This window comes from Homo sapiens, chromosome 4 (assembly GCF_000001405.40).
Source record: "Homo sapiens chromosome 4, GRCh38.p14 Primary Assembly".
Lineage (NCBI taxonomy): Eukaryota > Metazoa > Chordata > Mammalia > Primates > Hominidae > Homo > Homo sapiens.
Genome location: NC_000004.12, coordinates 82,389,742 through 82,406,583, shown reverse-complemented (window position 1 = coordinate 82,406,583; position 16,842 = coordinate 82,389,742). Strand labels below are relative to the sequence as shown.

The 16,842-nt window shown below is 43.0% G+C and overlaps 1 non-coding gene and 1 pseudogene across 1 annotated transcript; both read left to right on the top strand.

The window, feature by feature from the left end:
- Positions 3,878-3,946, top strand: LOC124900890 (small nucleolar RNA SNORD42). Its single transcript, XR_007058524.1, has one exon. It is a non-coding gene; the product is annotated as a small nucleolar RNA SNORD42 (small nucleolar RNA).
- IGBP1P4 (IGBP1 pseudogene 4) lies at positions 3,977-5,165 on the top strand (annotated as a pseudogene).

The following is a 16,842-nucleotide window of genomic DNA, read 5'->3' as shown; positions in this document are numbered from 1 at the left end:
GACAGGAACAGTGCTAAATATATTCGCCTGCTAACATACTTAATTCTCACAATAATCCTGATGAGAGAAATCCAGTTTAGAGCCTTGTAGAGTAACTTGCTCCATGAATATCTGTTAATGAAAACCTCAGCAAGGACAAATGATTTGCCCATGTCTTGTCCTGTTAGAGACAGAATTCAAACCTGACTGGCTAGAAAGCCTGTGCCCTTTTCTGTACATCAACCTGCATGCCAGTATTGTGTTCAAAGGTGTTTTCCCTATCTTGGATTCCTGTGGAAAAGTTTATCAAGACCATCTATGTACCAGTTGATCTATAAAATCTCAATGCTTATTCGTTTTCTTTTTCTTTTTTTTCTTTCTGTCCTGAATGGTGTTAGAGAGAACACTATCTCACCATTTCTGCAGGCTATTTTATTTTATTTTTTGAGACAGTCTCGCTCTGTCACCCAGGCTGGAGTGCAATGGCTTGATCTCAGCTCACTGCAAACTCTGCCTCCCGGGTCCCAGCGGTTCTCCTGCCTCAGCCTCCTGAGAAGCTGGGACTACAGGCACCTGCCGCCACGCTCAGCTAATTGTGTCTTTTTAGTAGAGACAGGGTTTCACCATGTCGGCCAGGCTGGTCTCGAACTCCTAACCTCAAGTGATCCGCCCACCTCAGCCTCCCAAAGTACTGGCATTACAGGAGTGAGCCACGGTGCCTGGCCCATTTCTGCAGGCTTTAAAACTGAGAAAATAAATTAGCTGGGACTGAGAAAATAAAAATATGCCCCGCTATGCATGAATCTGGGAGGACACATACAAATAAAGTTAGCTGCAAAGTTAAAGAGAAATAATGTTTCTCTCAAGGACATGCTGCAGCTGTAAAGCATAAAAACAACCCCCTTGCTGGTGTGACTACTGTTTTGTCTCTGACTGAGAAGCTTAGTTCCCTGAAATGATAGACCAGAAACCACGGAAATTATGTCAGGAAAAATGAAATATCCCACTCTTACTTGGAACATCTAAGGCACAAAGAAGCAACTTTGATTTCCAATCCAGGTGCAAAGCTTCAGAGAAGGACTTTCTGAAAACAACATTCCACCTTAACTTCCTAGTACCCAAAGAGACGGGAACCATGGCCAGGCGTGGTGGCTCACCCCTGTAATCCCAGCACTTTGAGGGGCCGGGGCAGGCAGATCACCTGAGGTCAGGAGTTCGAGACCAACATGGCAAAACCCCGTCTCTACTAAAAATAACAAAATTAGCTGGGTGTGGTGGCAGGCACCTGTGGTCCCAGCTACTCAGGAGGCTGAGGCAGGAGGATAGCTTGAGTCCAGGAGGCGGAGGCTGCAGTGAGCCGAGGTTGTGCCACTGCACTCTGTCTCAAAAAAAAAAAAAAAAAAGAAAAGAAAAAGAAAAGAAACAGGAACCTGTTCTCCTTTGCAGTCCAGATCTGATGTTGTCCCACTTTACATACAACCCTATTTTGCTTTGATCCTATCAAAATACTGCTTTATTTAATTTTCACCTAAATGTCTCTCTTCCCCAAATCCTATCTTTTTTTCTTTTTTTGAGACAGAGTCTCCCTCTTGTCGACAGGTTGGAGTGCAGTGGTGTGATCTGGGCTCACTGCAGCCTCTGCCTCCCAGGTTCAAGTGATCCTCCTGCCTCAGCCTCCCGAGTAGCTGGGACTCCAGGCATGTGCCACCATGCCCTGCTAATTTTTGTATTTTTAGTAGAGACAGGGTTTCACCATGTTGGCCAGGATGGTGTTGATCTCTTGACCTCATGATCTGCCTGCCTTGGCCTCCCAAAGTGCTGGGATTACAGGTGTGAGCCACCATGCCCAGTCCCTATCTTTTTTTTTTTTTTTTTTTTTTTTGGACATAGGGTCTCACTGTAGCCCAGGCTGGAGTGCAATGGTGCAATTACAGCTCACTGCAGCCTCCACCTCCTGGGCTCAAGTGATCCTCCCACCTCAGCCTCCTGAGTAGCTGGGACCACAGGCGCATGACAGCACACCAGGCTAATATTTTTGTATTTTCTGTAGAGACAGGGTTTCACCACGTTGCTATGCTGGTCTCAAACTCCTGGGCTCAAGTGATCAGACCTTCTTGGCCTCCCAAAGTGCTGGGATTATAGGCTTGAGCCACCATGCCCAGCCCCTTATCTTATCTTTTCTTCTGTTTGGTGAGACATCTCATAGTTTCTCTGATGTGCAGTCTCTCTTGTTGCAGCAAGTCAGTAAACCGTACTTCTTTCAACTACAGGTTTGTCCCTGATGGTCTGAGGCTGATTGGGCTGGAACAGTATCATGGAGGTATGGCCAAGATCCTCGGTGCCGTGAACCAGAACCCTTGGTAATAATATGCGCATCTGAGACTTCTTGAGTCTCCCCTGCATTAGGCCTCTCTGTCCTTGATTACATGGGTTTTGCATTGAAACTGGACTTTTATTATCTCTTTGGTCCCTTAGGGTCATGCTGATTTCTTGAGTCAGCAGGCAGAGCAATTTATCCTTGGGGTTAGGGCCCAAATTCATGAGTTTTTCTTTTATGTTTTGTATTTTAAAAAGAGAGAGAATTTATTTTAAAACAGTTTCTTTTATATTACTTATAAAAGTAATATTTTTATTTTTGACCACCAGCCAACCTCTTGTGGTTTGCCTCTAAGATACTTGCACTACTTCCTGGCATAACTTGACAGAGGACCGTGAATTATAGAGGCTACTCTGGAGAACTTTGGCTCAAATAAGATTGTTCATTTTAGACATGTCTTAGAATGAAAAAGGAAAAAAACCCAAGTCTCATGAGGGTACTGTCTTCTCTATTCTTTTTCTTTTTTATTAAAATTTTTTTTCTCTTTTTTAAATGTTTTTTCTTTTTTGTCTTATCTTTCTAAAAGAGAGATCATTTAGTTTAATGAAAGACTCCCTCCCTCCCCAAACATCCTTCATTTCCATTCTTAGGGGTTTAATAAATATTGGCTGCTTTATTCTATGAGTTGGCAAAATTGTCAAGGGCCCAAGTTACTGTTTCAACCAGGTGTAACAACTTGTGTGTGTGCAAGTGTATCCTGAAATGGGTTTTTCTATATCTAAACTTCTTCCCTCTCCTTAGAGCAGAAAGATTATTAGCTTTTCTCCAATAATTGTATATGTATCTATAGCTGGCTCTTGCTTTTTCTTTTATTTTCTTTTCTTTCTTTTTTTTAAAGAGACAGAGTTGCACTGTGTTACCCAGGCTGGAGTGCAGTGGCTATCCACAGGTGTGATTACAGTACACTACAGCCGCGAACCCCTGGCCTTAAGCGATCCTCCTGCTTCAGCCTCCTGAGTAGCTGGGACTACAGGTGCATGCCACTGTGTCTGGATTCTTCTCACTTTCTTTTCCTGTTTTCTCCCTCCTATCCTCCCTCAAGAAATTTTAAAGGTGAATTGACTTAAAAAAAATCATTTTGTTGTCATGTGTGCACTCTAGAAATATCTAGTCCACATAAATAATCAAAAATTTCTAAACAGAAAAAGTTAAAAATGGTATTTTGTTATGTAAAAATGCTAACACTGTATTTTAATTTTCATAATACTGAAGTTAAATTTCTAATGCTTTAAACTTTCTAAATTTTTATATTGGGCTTAAGAGTCAAATAACTTATTATTTCCAAAAATTGTTTAAGATTGGAAATATAATATGGTGTTTAATTAAATAAAAATGTAATTACAGATGTCTTTTGAAAGGTTTTGATTATGTGAAATTCCTGTAATACTATAAAATGTGTTAATTAAAATTTTAATTTCCAAGTTATTAAATCTTTAAGAACTTATAAAACACATTAATTGATATATGATCTTTGGATACTTGAACAATTTTAAGTTAAAAAATGATACAAAACTCTGGTCATAGCATATGATGGAAAAATCTTAATCTTCTGAGACTTGTGATGTCTTCAAAGGAACCACTTCAATGCAATTTAAAGAAAAAGAAAAGTAAAAAAAAGCCCTCCCCAAGATGGCTGCTGAAGACGAACTACTGCTCCCGCTGCCCCCCGCCGAGCTGCTGGAAACCGGCAAACAGATTCTGGACGAAGTAGAAGTAGCGACTGAACCTGCCGATTCCCGGATAGTCCAGGAGAAGGTGTTCAAGGGCCTGGATGGATCTCCTTGAGAAGGCTGCCGAAATGTTATCGCAGCTCGAGTTGTTCAGCCGAAATGAAGATTTGGAAGAGATTGCTTCCACCGACCTGAAGTACCTGGTGGTGCCAGTGTTTCAAGGAGCCCTCACCATGAAACAAGTCAACTCCAGCAAGCGTCTAGATCATTTGCAGCGGGCTCGAGAACACTTTATAAACCACTTAACTCAGTGTCATTGCTATCATGTGGCAGAGTTTGAGCTGCCCAAAGCCAAGAACAACTCAGCCGAAAATCACACTGCTAATTCCTCCATGGCTTATTCTAGCCTCGTTGCTATGGCATCTCGAAGACAGGGTAAAATAGAGAGATACAAGCAGAAGAAGGAGTTGGAGCATAGGTTGTCTGAAATGAAACCTGCTGTGGAAAGTGGTCAAGCAGATGATGAGCGTGTTTGTGAATATTATCTTCTTCACCTTCAGCGGTGGATTGATATTAGCTTAGAAGAGATTGAGAACATTGACCAGGAAATAAAGATCCCGAGAGAAAGAGACTCTTCAGGAGGCATCAACTTCTAACTCATCTCACCAGGAGAGGCCTCCAGTGAAACCCTTCATTCTCACTCAGAACACGGCCCAAGCCAAAGTATTTGGAGCAGGTTATCCAAGTCTGGCAACTATGACGGTGAGTGACTGGTTGAGCAACATCGGAAATATGGAGCATTACGAGATCAGGAAATAGCCAAGGCAACACCAGAGGAATTCAGAAAAGCGGCTCAGCAATAGGAACATCAAGAAGAAAAGGAGGAAGAGGATGATGAACAAACACTCTACAGAGCTCTGGAGTGGGATGACTGGAAGGACACCCATCCTTGGGGCTATGGCAACCGATAGAACATGGGCTGATGTTCCCACAACACTGACAGGACTGCAGGGTGCACACCTCCCACGCCAAGGAAAGCCAGACAGTCCTCCCCTCCCTGGGCTCACGCTTCAGCTGTGTACAACGAAGGCAAAGATGCTAAATCTTGTTTTGCATTCAATAAAGTGTCAAGTGATTAAAAACAAAAACAAAACAAACAAAAAAAACCTCTGGTCACTAAATACAGATGTGATCTATTCTTATTCTTATAACGTTATAAAATGACTATAAACAGGATGTGTAAATGTGCTTTTCCGAATAGGGGATCTGATAAAAAAATAAAATAAGCAAACAAACAAGCAAAAATAAACTGTGTAAATGCTTTGAATGATATCATATATTGGTTTGTTTTGCCAGCTTAACATTTATGAAGATAGTCTAAAATGTGTACCAAAAAAATTAGGTAGATATTTCTTGGTTTACTGTCTTCTAGACATCCATGCAAAAAACAAAAGTTGGTTGCTTTGGCTAAAAGTGATAATTAATAAAACAATAAAGGCTATACTCATAATAATTACAGAGAAATATGAATATGTATGCAAGATAATATAGTTTATTAAATAAATTCTGGATATATTTACATTATAATTTCAAGTATAAATACATTGATTTATTTAATATACTGATTGGATTAATTTTATCTTAAAGTTAAAAGCTTTAATTTTGTAACTTATTTACATAGCCATGTAATTATATATGTCTAAACACACACATATAAATGTATATTAAGATCAATTGAAGAATCATCTATAAATGGTTAAAAAATTTTAAGGTGAAATCAATGTTAGTAGATTTATTAAAAACAGATAAATTCTTGACTAAAAATTGTTGCATGGATGATATTCTAAAATAAAAAAAGTCAAATTAGAATTTGGATTTTCTTTTTGGAAAATGACTAAGTTAGTCTGTGACCAGATAACAGCTATCCTTTTGAAACACCAAAATACTCTATTAATTCTCTAGACTTCTTGGCATACTCTGGAATAATTTTGACCAAAAATTCCTCACTTTTCAGTTAAGTTCCTAGTAATAACTGTTCCCTACTGACGTGGTTTTTAAATACGTATAATAACTATAACTGTCTTTTGGAGTTTTTGTTTGTTTTGATAGGGTCTCGCTCTGTCACCCAGGCTGGAATGCAGTGGTACAGTCTCCACTCACTGCAGCCTTGACCTCCTAGGTTCAAGCCATCCTCCCACCTCAGCCTCTCCAGTAGCTGGAGCTACCAGCATGTGCCGCCATGCCCAGATAAATTTTATTTTTTTAATTTGAGACGGAGTCTCCCTTTGTTGACCAGGCACAAATTGTGCAGTGGCACAATTTGGGTTCACGGCAACCTCCACCTCCCGGATTTAAGTGATTCTCCTGCCTTGGCCCCCCAAGTAGCTGGGATTACACCACTGGGCGCACCACCACACCCGGCTAATTTTTGTATTTTTAGTAGAGACGGGGTTTCACCCTGTTGGCAGGCTGGTCTCCAGCTCCTGACCTCAAGTGACCCGCCCGCCTCAGCCTCCCAAAGTGCTGGGATTACCGGTGTGAGCCACCGTGCCCGGAGGTCTTGGATTTTAAAAATTATAATTTCTGTTCATACCTTATATCTTCTGACAATTCTTCTTCATTCTGCCTTTATATTAGGCCCTAAATTCAGAATAATAAAAATGTTAAGATGTTTTTTATCCTTCAAATATCTTTAGACTTCCTGAAATGACTGTTAGGTATCACAAATATTTGCTCATTCACTTTCTACTCAGGAAGAATAATTGAAATAATTGTTTGGCCTAGAGTGGTGGCTCATGCCTGTAATCCCAGCCACTTTGGGAGGCCAAGGCGGGCAGATCGCTTGAGCCCAGGAGTTTGAGGCCAACCTGGGCAACACAGTGAAACCCATCTCTGTGAAAAATACAAAATACAAAAAATTAGCCAGGTGTGGCAGTGCACGCTTGTGGTCCCAGCTACTTGGGAGGTTGAGGTTGGCAAATTGGTTGAGCCCAGGAGGCAGAGGTTGCAGTGAGCGGAGATCATGGGGAGATCATGGCACTGTACTCCAGCCTGGGCGACCCCAACTCAAAAAAAAAGAAAAAGAAAGAAAGAAATAATTAAGTGTGGGCATTTTTCAAACTTAAACAATGGTGAGAACTACTTTTTAGTAGCAATTAAAAAAAAAGGACAAAAGAAAAGGAAAAAACCCATATTTTATGAATTTTCTACAATGTGACATTTTTATTTTAAAAATAAGTAACTTAAAAATAGATATTACTCAGCCGGGCATGGTAGCTCATGCCTATAATCCCACACTTTGGGAGGCTGAGGCAGGCAGATCATGAGCTCAGGAGATTGACACCATCCTGGCTGACACAGTGAAACCCCGTCTCTACTAAAAAAATACAAAAAATTAGCTAAGCGTGGTGGCGGGCGCCTGTAGTCCCAGCTACTTGGGAGGCTGAGGCAGGAGAATGGCGTGAACCTGGGAGGCGGAGCTTGCAGTGAGCAGAGATCGCACCACTGCACTCCAGCCTGGGGGACAGAGCGAGGGTCCGTCTAAAAAAAAAAAAAAAAAAAGGTAAATAGAAATTTAGTTAAAAATAGAAAGTTAAAGAGCATATCAATCATATACATATTTAATGTATTTTAGTTTATCTAAATCTCTCTTGGTAAGCCAACAGCTGGAAGACATGCACTAAGAAAATGGGAAGCAGTTGGTAGAAATAATTTTTGGATATGTGGAGAAATAGCTGGGATTAAAAAAAAAGTGCTGTGGGAATCTGGGGTCATAAAGAGACTGTTGCAGAAGGGGGATGTTAGAAAGAACAAAAAACCGGGAATTTAATTTTTTTCACAGGAAAATGAAACAGAAAAAACTGCTTTGGATATAGCACAGAGCCAGTGAAGGATATACAATGGTACTTCTGAAACAAAGGGAAGAAAAGAATGCCCAGAAGTTTGTGTATAGGAGAACCTACCCAGCAGTTCTGCTGTGAGCATCAAGAGGGAAGGCTAGGTCTTTCTTCATGAAATGGAGAGCCTGGAGAATGCTGGGCTGGTAATGTCAGCAGATCAATTTACCTACTCAAAACTCATATTTCCACTTTCCTTTTGGGTTCACAAGGGTGATCTGCTAAGATGGCTAAAGTCTCTGGGGACTTTTTTTTTTTTTTTTCTGAGACAGCGTCTTGGTTTGTTGCCCAGGCTGGAGTGCAGTGGCATGATCTCAGCTCACTACAACCTCTGCTTACCTGGTTCAAGCTATTCTCCCACCTCAAACTCCCAAGTAGCTGGGATTATAGGTGTCCACCACCATGCCCAGCTAATTTTTTTTTTTTTGAGATGGAGTCTAGCTCTGTTGCCCAGGCTGGAGTGCAGAGGCGCGATCTTGGCTCACTGGAACCTCTACCTCCCAGGTACAAGCGATTCTCCTGCCTCAGCCTCCCAAGTAGCTGGGATTACAGGTGCCCGCTACCACACCCAGCTAATTTTTGTATTTTTAGTAGAGACGGGGTTTCATTGTGTTGGTCAGGCTGGTCTCAAACTCCTGACCTTGTGATCTGCCTGCCTCTGCCTCCCAAAGTACTGGGATTACAAGTGTGAGCCACTGTGCCCAGCCTAATTTCTGTATTTTTAGTAGGGACAGGGTTTTCCCATGTTGGCTGGGCTGGTCTCGAACTCCTGAGCTCAAGTTATCTGCCTGCCTGGGCCTCCCAAAGTGCTGGGATTACAGATATGAGCTACCACGCCCGGCCTCTGGGGACTTATTAATTTACTATATTTTGTTCTAAAGGAGGACTTTTAATGTTAGCTAGTAGTACAGTATATTGTATAGAAAAAAGGATAGAGGCATGCATAACAACTATTAGCACAAATACATATGTGCATTTTTTCTCTTCTAGCACTGATGTGACTCCTGTCATTAGCAGTTGTGACACACATTGCTTAAAATCAACAGCTGATTCAACATTTGGAAATATAAACTTTATGAATAAAAATTATATAATCCAATTGAAGATTTCTATAAGCTCACCCAAGAAGTATAATACCTCAGCTAACTACATTCTCGTTTGGGATTTTATTCTTCCTTTTTGCTTACAAATATTCTTGAATTTATATTCCTAAAGGCAAAAAAAAAAAAAAAAAAAAAGGCACATACTAAAATGAGCAACTGCTTCTCTTCTTTCTTTCTTTCTTTATTTTTTTGTTTTTTGGAGGGTGTGGGGACAGTGTCTCGCTCTGTTGCCCAGGCTAGAGTGCAGTGGCGCGATCTCAGCTCACTGCGACCTCTGCCTCCTGGGTTCAAGCGATTCTCTTGCCTCAGCCTCTGAGTAGCTGGCACCACAGGCACATGACATCGCGCCCAGCTAATTTTTGTATTTTCTGATAGAGGCGGGGTTTTGCCGTGTTGGCCAGGCTAGTCTCGAACTCCTGACGTCAGGTAATCTGCCTGCCTTGGCCTCCCAAAGTGCTGGGATTACAGGCATGAACACTGCGCCCGGCCCCTTTATTTATTTATTTACTTATTTAAAGACGGAGTCTCGCTCTGTCGCCAGGCTGGAGTGCAGTGGCGTGATCTTGGCTCACTGCAACCTCTGCCTCCCGGGTTCAAGCAATTCTCCTGCCTCAGCCTCCTGAGTAGCTGGGACTACAGGCGCGCGCCATCACACTCAGCTAATTTTTTGTTGTTGTTGTTGTTGTTGTATTTTTAGTAGAGACAGGGTTTCATCATGTTGGCCAGGATGGTCTCAATCTCTTGACCTCATGATCCACCCGCCTCGCCCTCTCAAAGTGCTGGGATTACAGGCGTGAGTCACCGCACCCGGCCACATTCTTTATTTTTAACAGCTTTTTTGAGCTATAATTCACATTTCATGCAATTAATTTATTTAAAGAGTAAAATTGTATGGTTTTTAGTGTATTGACAAAGCTGTGTACCCATTACTGCAATGAATTTCAGAACATTTGTATAGCCCCAAAAAGAAATTCTTTACCTATTAGCAATTGCTCCTTATTTCTCTCTGACGTCCCAGCCCTAGGCAACCACTACTGTCTGTTCCGTCTTTATAGGTTTGCTTCCGGGCATTTAATATACATGGAATCATACAATATGTGGCCTTGTGTTACTGGCTTTTTCACTTAACGTGATGTTCCCCGCTTCATCCATGTTGGAGTACATATCAGTACTTTATTCCTTTTTATCACTGAATAATAGTCTATCCTATGGTGTGAAAAAAAAAGCATGAACACAGCAGGCTGGAGACTGCTATCCTTAGAAAAGCCTGCTTACGGCCGGCCGGGCGCGGTGGCTCACGCCTGTAATCCCAGCACTTTGAGAGGCCGAGGGGGCGGATCACAAGGTCAGGAGATCGAGACCATCCTGGCTAGCACGGTGAAACCCCGTCTCTACTAAAAATACAAAAAATTAGCCGGGTGTGGTGGCGGGCGCCTGAAGTCCCAGCTACTCGGGAGGCTGAGGCAGGAGAATGGCGTGAACCCGGGAGGCGGAGCTTGCAGTGAGCCGAGATCGCACCACTGCACTCAAGCCTGGGGGAGGGAGCGAGACTCCATCTCAAAAATAAATAAATAAATAAATAAGTAAATCAATCAATCAATAAATAAAAAGAGAAGCCTGCTTACCAGATTGGCCCTTGACTGGTGTCTGGGACCTTGAATTTGGGGAGATTTCCACCATTCCCTAACTGATATGGATGGTTTATTCTGCCTTAACTATTTGTATGAACTCTGGTTTGTGCTATCCACCTGTTTTCCGCCTAGAGTCTGCAATCTTGGTACATGCTACGCAGAGGGTGCCTACATGATCAGCTCCCAATAAAAATCTTAGGCATTGAGTCACGAATGAGTTTCCCTGGCAGACACCATTTCACAAATTATTACAATTCATTGCTGGGGGATTTAATCTCATCCTGGGTGACTCCACTGGGAGAGGACTCTTGGGAAGCCTGTGCCTGGCTTCCTCTTGACTTTGCCCTTAGTTGATTTTGCTTTGTATCCTTTTGCTGCTATAAACCTTAACCATGACTATGACTACATCCTGTGGGTCCTCTCATCAAATACAGGGGTGAGCTTGGAGGCCTCCAAGACATATGAATATAGCTTATTTTACTTATCCATTCATTAGCTGATGGACATGTGGATTATTTCCACTTCTTGGCTATTATGAATAAATGCTACTATGAACATTCATGCACGGGTTTCTGTGTAGACTTTCATTTTTCTTGGTTATTGTTGTATAATAGAGAATTTGGCCTCATCCGTGGTTCCTGGGGAGAGACTCTAAATCCTTGTAATTTCCGAAGTAATAGGAGTATCTTTGTTTTTCATGAGGCTCTCAGATCACACCTGAGTTTACACTGAGGTGACTCATGCTGGGCACCTTAGAAAGCTTCAGGAAGGGGGCTGATCATGTGATTACAGAGTTGGGGCTTTGAGGCATGTGATATCACCCAGTGTCCTGGGAGGGGAAGAGTCTGAGTCCATTCCTGTGGCTGTTGATTCAATTAATCATGCCTACTTAATGGAACACCAATACTGAATACTGAACCTCAGTGGAGCTTCCTGGTTTATGAACACGTCAGTGTGTCAAGAAGGTGACACATCCAGAGACAGCACAGCAGCTCTGTGTTTGGGACCCTCCCCGACCTCTCCCCATGTGTCTCTTCATTTGGCTGGTTCTGATACGTATCCTTTATAATAAAATCGTAATCACAAATATAGAGCTTTCCTGAGTTCTGTGTCATTCTAGTGAATTATCAGACCTTAAGGGGATGTGGGAGCTTCCAAACTTATAGCCGGTAGGTCAGAAGTGAAGGTGGTCAGAAATGTAGACTACAGTGAACCATGATTGCGCTACTACACTCCAGCTGAGCCTATGGAGTGAGACTCTGTCTCTTAAAGAGAGAGAGATTGGAAAGAGAGAGGGAAAGAGAGAGAGAAAGAGAGAGAGAGAAACAGAGAAACAGAGAAACAGAGAAAGCTGACCAGAAGATCTTGGTGGCAGAATTCAGGAATGGTGGTAACACTCTAAACTTTATATGCCTATTTTCAGAGTGAAAGTGCTTGGGGGTGGAGTGTAGAGGACTCTCTTTTGTTACTGTATATATTTCTGTGTGTCTGGATTTTTAGAATTAAATTGTATTCATATAGTACTTGTGTGTTTTAAAATTATTTTAGGTCTGGTGTGGTGGCTGACACCTATAATCCCAACACTTTGGGAGGCCAAGGTGGGAAGATTGCTTGAGCCTGGGAATTCAAGACCAACCTGGGCCACAGAGTGGGACTCTGCTTCTACAAAAATTATCCTGGCATGGTGGCACACACCTGTAGCCCCAGCTACTCAGGAGGCTGAGGTGGGAGAGTTTCCTGAACCTGGGAAGTTGAGGCTGCAGTAAAACGTGATTAAGCCACTTCACTCCAGCCTGGATGATAGGAGTGGCCCTGTCTCAAAAATAAAATAAAATAAATAAAATACTTTTAAAGTAAAAATGAGAATACATAAACTGGGTATGGTCCTCTTATCTCAGCTACTGGGGACCTAAAGCAGGAGGACCCCTTGAGCCCAAGAGTACAAGACAAGCCTGGGCAACATAGCAAGATTCTGTCTCAAAAAAAATATATATAGTACAAAATAATATAACACAGTGGTAGACAGTAGAAGGAGACTGACTTAAACCCAGGAAGAAGAGATGGGCTATACTATGTGCTAGGCCTATCATGCTGTTTGCAACACACAAGAGGTCACAATGAACTGTTTGTGAACTGAATGATGTAGTGATGTTGGCAACTTCCTGAGGAAGAGCATGAAGGCAGCCTTGGTCTCTGCTGTAGCCCACAGGGAGGTATGCCATCTTCCTGAGCCTTTAGCTGGAAAGTGATCTATGGTCTACAGCAGCGATCCCCAACCTTTTTGGCACCAGGGACAGTGACACCCGAAGTGTGTTGCTTATGTCCAGTCTACTCCGTAATCTCGTTCTGGTTGCTGTCACTGCAGAAAACCCTGCTTCACAAAGATAGGACGCTGGAAATGGAAGCAGGCTTTCCAGTACTTTTGTGGCAATCTCAGGATAATCCACCTTGACTTTAATCCAGAACATATGGAGATTTGAAGTTGACTCAAACATACTGTTTTTTTTTTCCTTTTTGTTTGTTTGTTTATGTTTGAGACAGAATCTTGCTCCATCACCTCATTAGTGTAAACTCAGGTGTGATCTGAGAGTCTCATGAAAAACAAAGATACTCCTATTACTTCAGATATTACAAGGATTTAGAGTCTCTCCCCAGGAACCAGGGACGAGGCCAAATTATTATACATGGATGCTCTGCATCCATCTCCTCACAGAGCTACAAGAAAAATGAAAGTCTACACAAAAACCTGTACATGAATGTTCATAGTAGCATTATTCATAATAGCCAAGAAGTGGAAATCGCCCAGGCTGGAGTACAGTGGTGCAATCTCAGCTCATTGCAATCTCTGCCTCCTAGGTTCAAGTGATTCTCCTGCCTCAGCCTCCTGAGTAGCTAGGCCTACAGGCACGCACCAACACACCCAGCTAATTTTTGTATTTTTAGTAGAGATAGGATTTCACAATGTTGGCCAGGCTGGTCTCGAACTCCTGAACTCAGGTGATCTGCCTGCCTCAGCCTCTGAAAGTTCTGGGATTACAGGTGTGAGCCACCGCGCCTGGCCTCAAACTCTTTTGAAAGCTGAGAGAGGTGATTACGCACCAGCTGGGAGAAAGAAGGCCCTGGCTCAGCCTCTTTCAAAATCTCTGCTAATGTTTGAAACGTGTCAGAAATCCCAATGTTCACTTGTCGGCCCCATAATTCCAGTTTGGTTTTGAATGCAGCCACCTTATCTGCTGACTTGAACAAAGTTGTCGTTTTCCCCTGAAGTGACAGATTGAGTTTGTTGACCAGGTTGATATGTCACACAAGTAAACAAGTTTTGTGACCCATTCTGTGTCACTGAAATGTGCTGCCAGTGGTGATCGTTTTTCTAAAAGAAATACCTGGAGCAGCTCTTGTAACCCAAAAACTCTGGCCAGTGAGCTACCTTTAGAAATCCATCTCACCTCTGTGTATAAGAGAAGACGTGTGTGCTCTGCATCCGTCTCCTTGCAGACCTGCATGAACAGATGAGTTAAGGGCATGTACTTTAATGTGGCTGATAATTTTAATCACATCCTGCAAAACGTTGTTAAGTTCAGGTGACATTTTTTGGCTAGCCAGCATTTCTCTATGGATGACACAGTGTGTAGACTCATATTCAGAAGTGACCTCATGGCTGGGGACGGTGGCTAATGCCTGAATTCCCAGCACTTTGGGAGGCCAAGGCGGGTGGATCACCTGAGGTCGGGAGTTCGAGATCATCCTGACCAACATGGAGAAACCTCATCTCTACTAAAAATACGAAATTAGCAGGGCATGGTGGTGCATGCCTGTAATCCCAGCTACTAGGGAGGCTAAGGCAGGAGAATCGCTTGAATCTGGGAGGCAGAGGTTGCAGTGAGCCGAGGTCAGGCCATTGCACTCCAGCTTGGGCAACAACAGTGAAACTCCATCTCAAAAAAAAAAAAAAAAAAAAAAAGGTGATCTCTTTCACCCAAGTAGTGAAACCAGAAAGCTCTCCAGTCATGGCAGCCGCTCAGTCCATGCATATACCAACACAAGATGACCAATTCAGTTTTCCTGATATGTAATTATTCAAAGACTTGAATAGTTCTGCAGCTGTGGTGTTGGTTGGCAACAAAAGTGCATATAACATATTCTCATGCACATCCTCCTGAAAAAATATCACACAAAAACAAGCATTGTTGCCTTGTTGTCAATATCAGTAGACTCATCAATCTGGATGGCATACCATGGTGACTCACTAATCTTGACAATCGTGCCTCAATATCCTCTGCTATTTCATCAATTCATCTAGTGCCTCTGCAGCCTCTCCTAAAAACTAACGGCAAATGTCTTTAGCAGGAGGCAGGATCAACTCTTCACCAATAGCAAAGGGCTTCTTAGCTTTTGCAATGTGGTTAGCCACTAAGAATGATGCTCTCAGTGCAGACACATTTGATGAAGTGGTGGCCTTCAATAATTGCTTTTGTTCTTTGTGTTCACTTTTTTTCTTTTTTTTTTTTTCTGAGATGGAGTCTCGCTCTGTTGCCCAGGCTGGAGTGCAGTGGCATGATCTTAGCTCACTGCAACCTCAGCCTCCCGGGTTCAGGCAATTCTCCCTGCCTCAGCCTCCTAAGAAGCTGGGATTACAGGCGCCCACCACCACACCTGGCTAATTTTTGTATTTTTTAGTAGAGACAGGGTTTCGCCATGTTGGCCAGGCTGGTCTTGAACTCCTGACCTCAGATGATCCACCTGCCTCAGCCTCCCAAAGTGCTGGAATTACAGGCATGAGCCACCGCACCAGGCCTGTTTTTTTCTTTTGAAAAAATGCCAAAGGCTGGCCGGGCGCGGTGGCTCATGCCTGTAATCCCAGCACTTTGGGAAGCCAAGGTGGGTGGATCACCTGAGGTCAGGAGTTCGAGACCAGCCTGGCCAACATGGTGAAACCCCGTCTCTACTAAAAATACAAAAATTAGCTGGGCGTGGTGGCGTGTGCCTGTAATCCCAGTTACTCGGGAGGCTGAGGAGGAGAATCACTTGACCACGAGAGGCGGATGTTACAGTGAGCCGAGATTGTGCCAATGCACTCCAGCCTGGGTGACAGAGGGAGACTCCCTCTCAAAAAAAAAAAAAAAAAAATCCAAAGGCTTGTCTTTTAGTGCAGGGTGCTTGGTCTCCATGTGGCAAAGAAGTTTTGAAGGTTTCATGGCTTTGCTGGATAGCCGGTTGCCACATATTATACAAGGCAGGCTTGGAGAATGTGAATCGCCTGTTGCAATGAACCTGTAATTTAAGTAGGACTCTTGGCATTTTCTTTTAAATGCACCTTTCTTTTTGTTGGCAGTCTTCTGCTGTCTCATTATTGGGTCTTTCCCCTTTTTAAGGAAGCTCTTGGCCGGGTGTGGCGGCTCATGCCTGTAATCCCAGCACTTTGGGAGGCTGAGGCGGGTGGATCACGAGGTCTGGAGTTTGAGACCAGCCTGACCAATATGGTGAAACCCCGTCTCTACTAAAAATACAAAAAGTAGCCAGGTGTGGTGGCGCACACCTGTAATCCTGGCTACTCAGGAGGCTGAGGCAGGAGAATCGCTTGTTGCAGTGAGCCGAGATGGCGCCGCTGCACTCCAGCCTGGGCGACACAGCGAGACTCCATCTCAAATAAATAAATAAATAAATAAATAAATAAATAAATAAAAATAAAAGAAGCTCTCCAGTGACATTTGCTTTTTCTCATTTTGGCTAGGGCTAGCTTGTGGGCTTAGCAAAACTGTGACTGAGACAAGTGCACAGTGATGGAAAGAGGCAAAGACAGAAGTGGTAAATCAAATAAAGGGCAGGCCACACATGGACTAAAATAAACGTCAGATTCTGACTTAAAGCCTGCCACCAGATGCAGCTGTACAATTGAAGTACATCGACTCATCTGCCACTTTAAAGCTTGCCACTAGATGAAGCTTAATTGTCACTTGCTGATAAGGTTTTGATATGAGTCTGCAAACAACTAATTTATTATGGTCTCTGCCGTCAAACCTCTCTGCTAATGTTAATCTGTATTTGCAGCCACTCTCCAGCGCTAGTGTCACCACCTCAGCTCCACCTCAGATCATCAGGCATTCAATTCCTATAAGCAGTGCACAACCTACATCCTTCACATGAGCAGTTCACAGTAGGGTTCGTGCTCCTGTGAGCATCTAATGC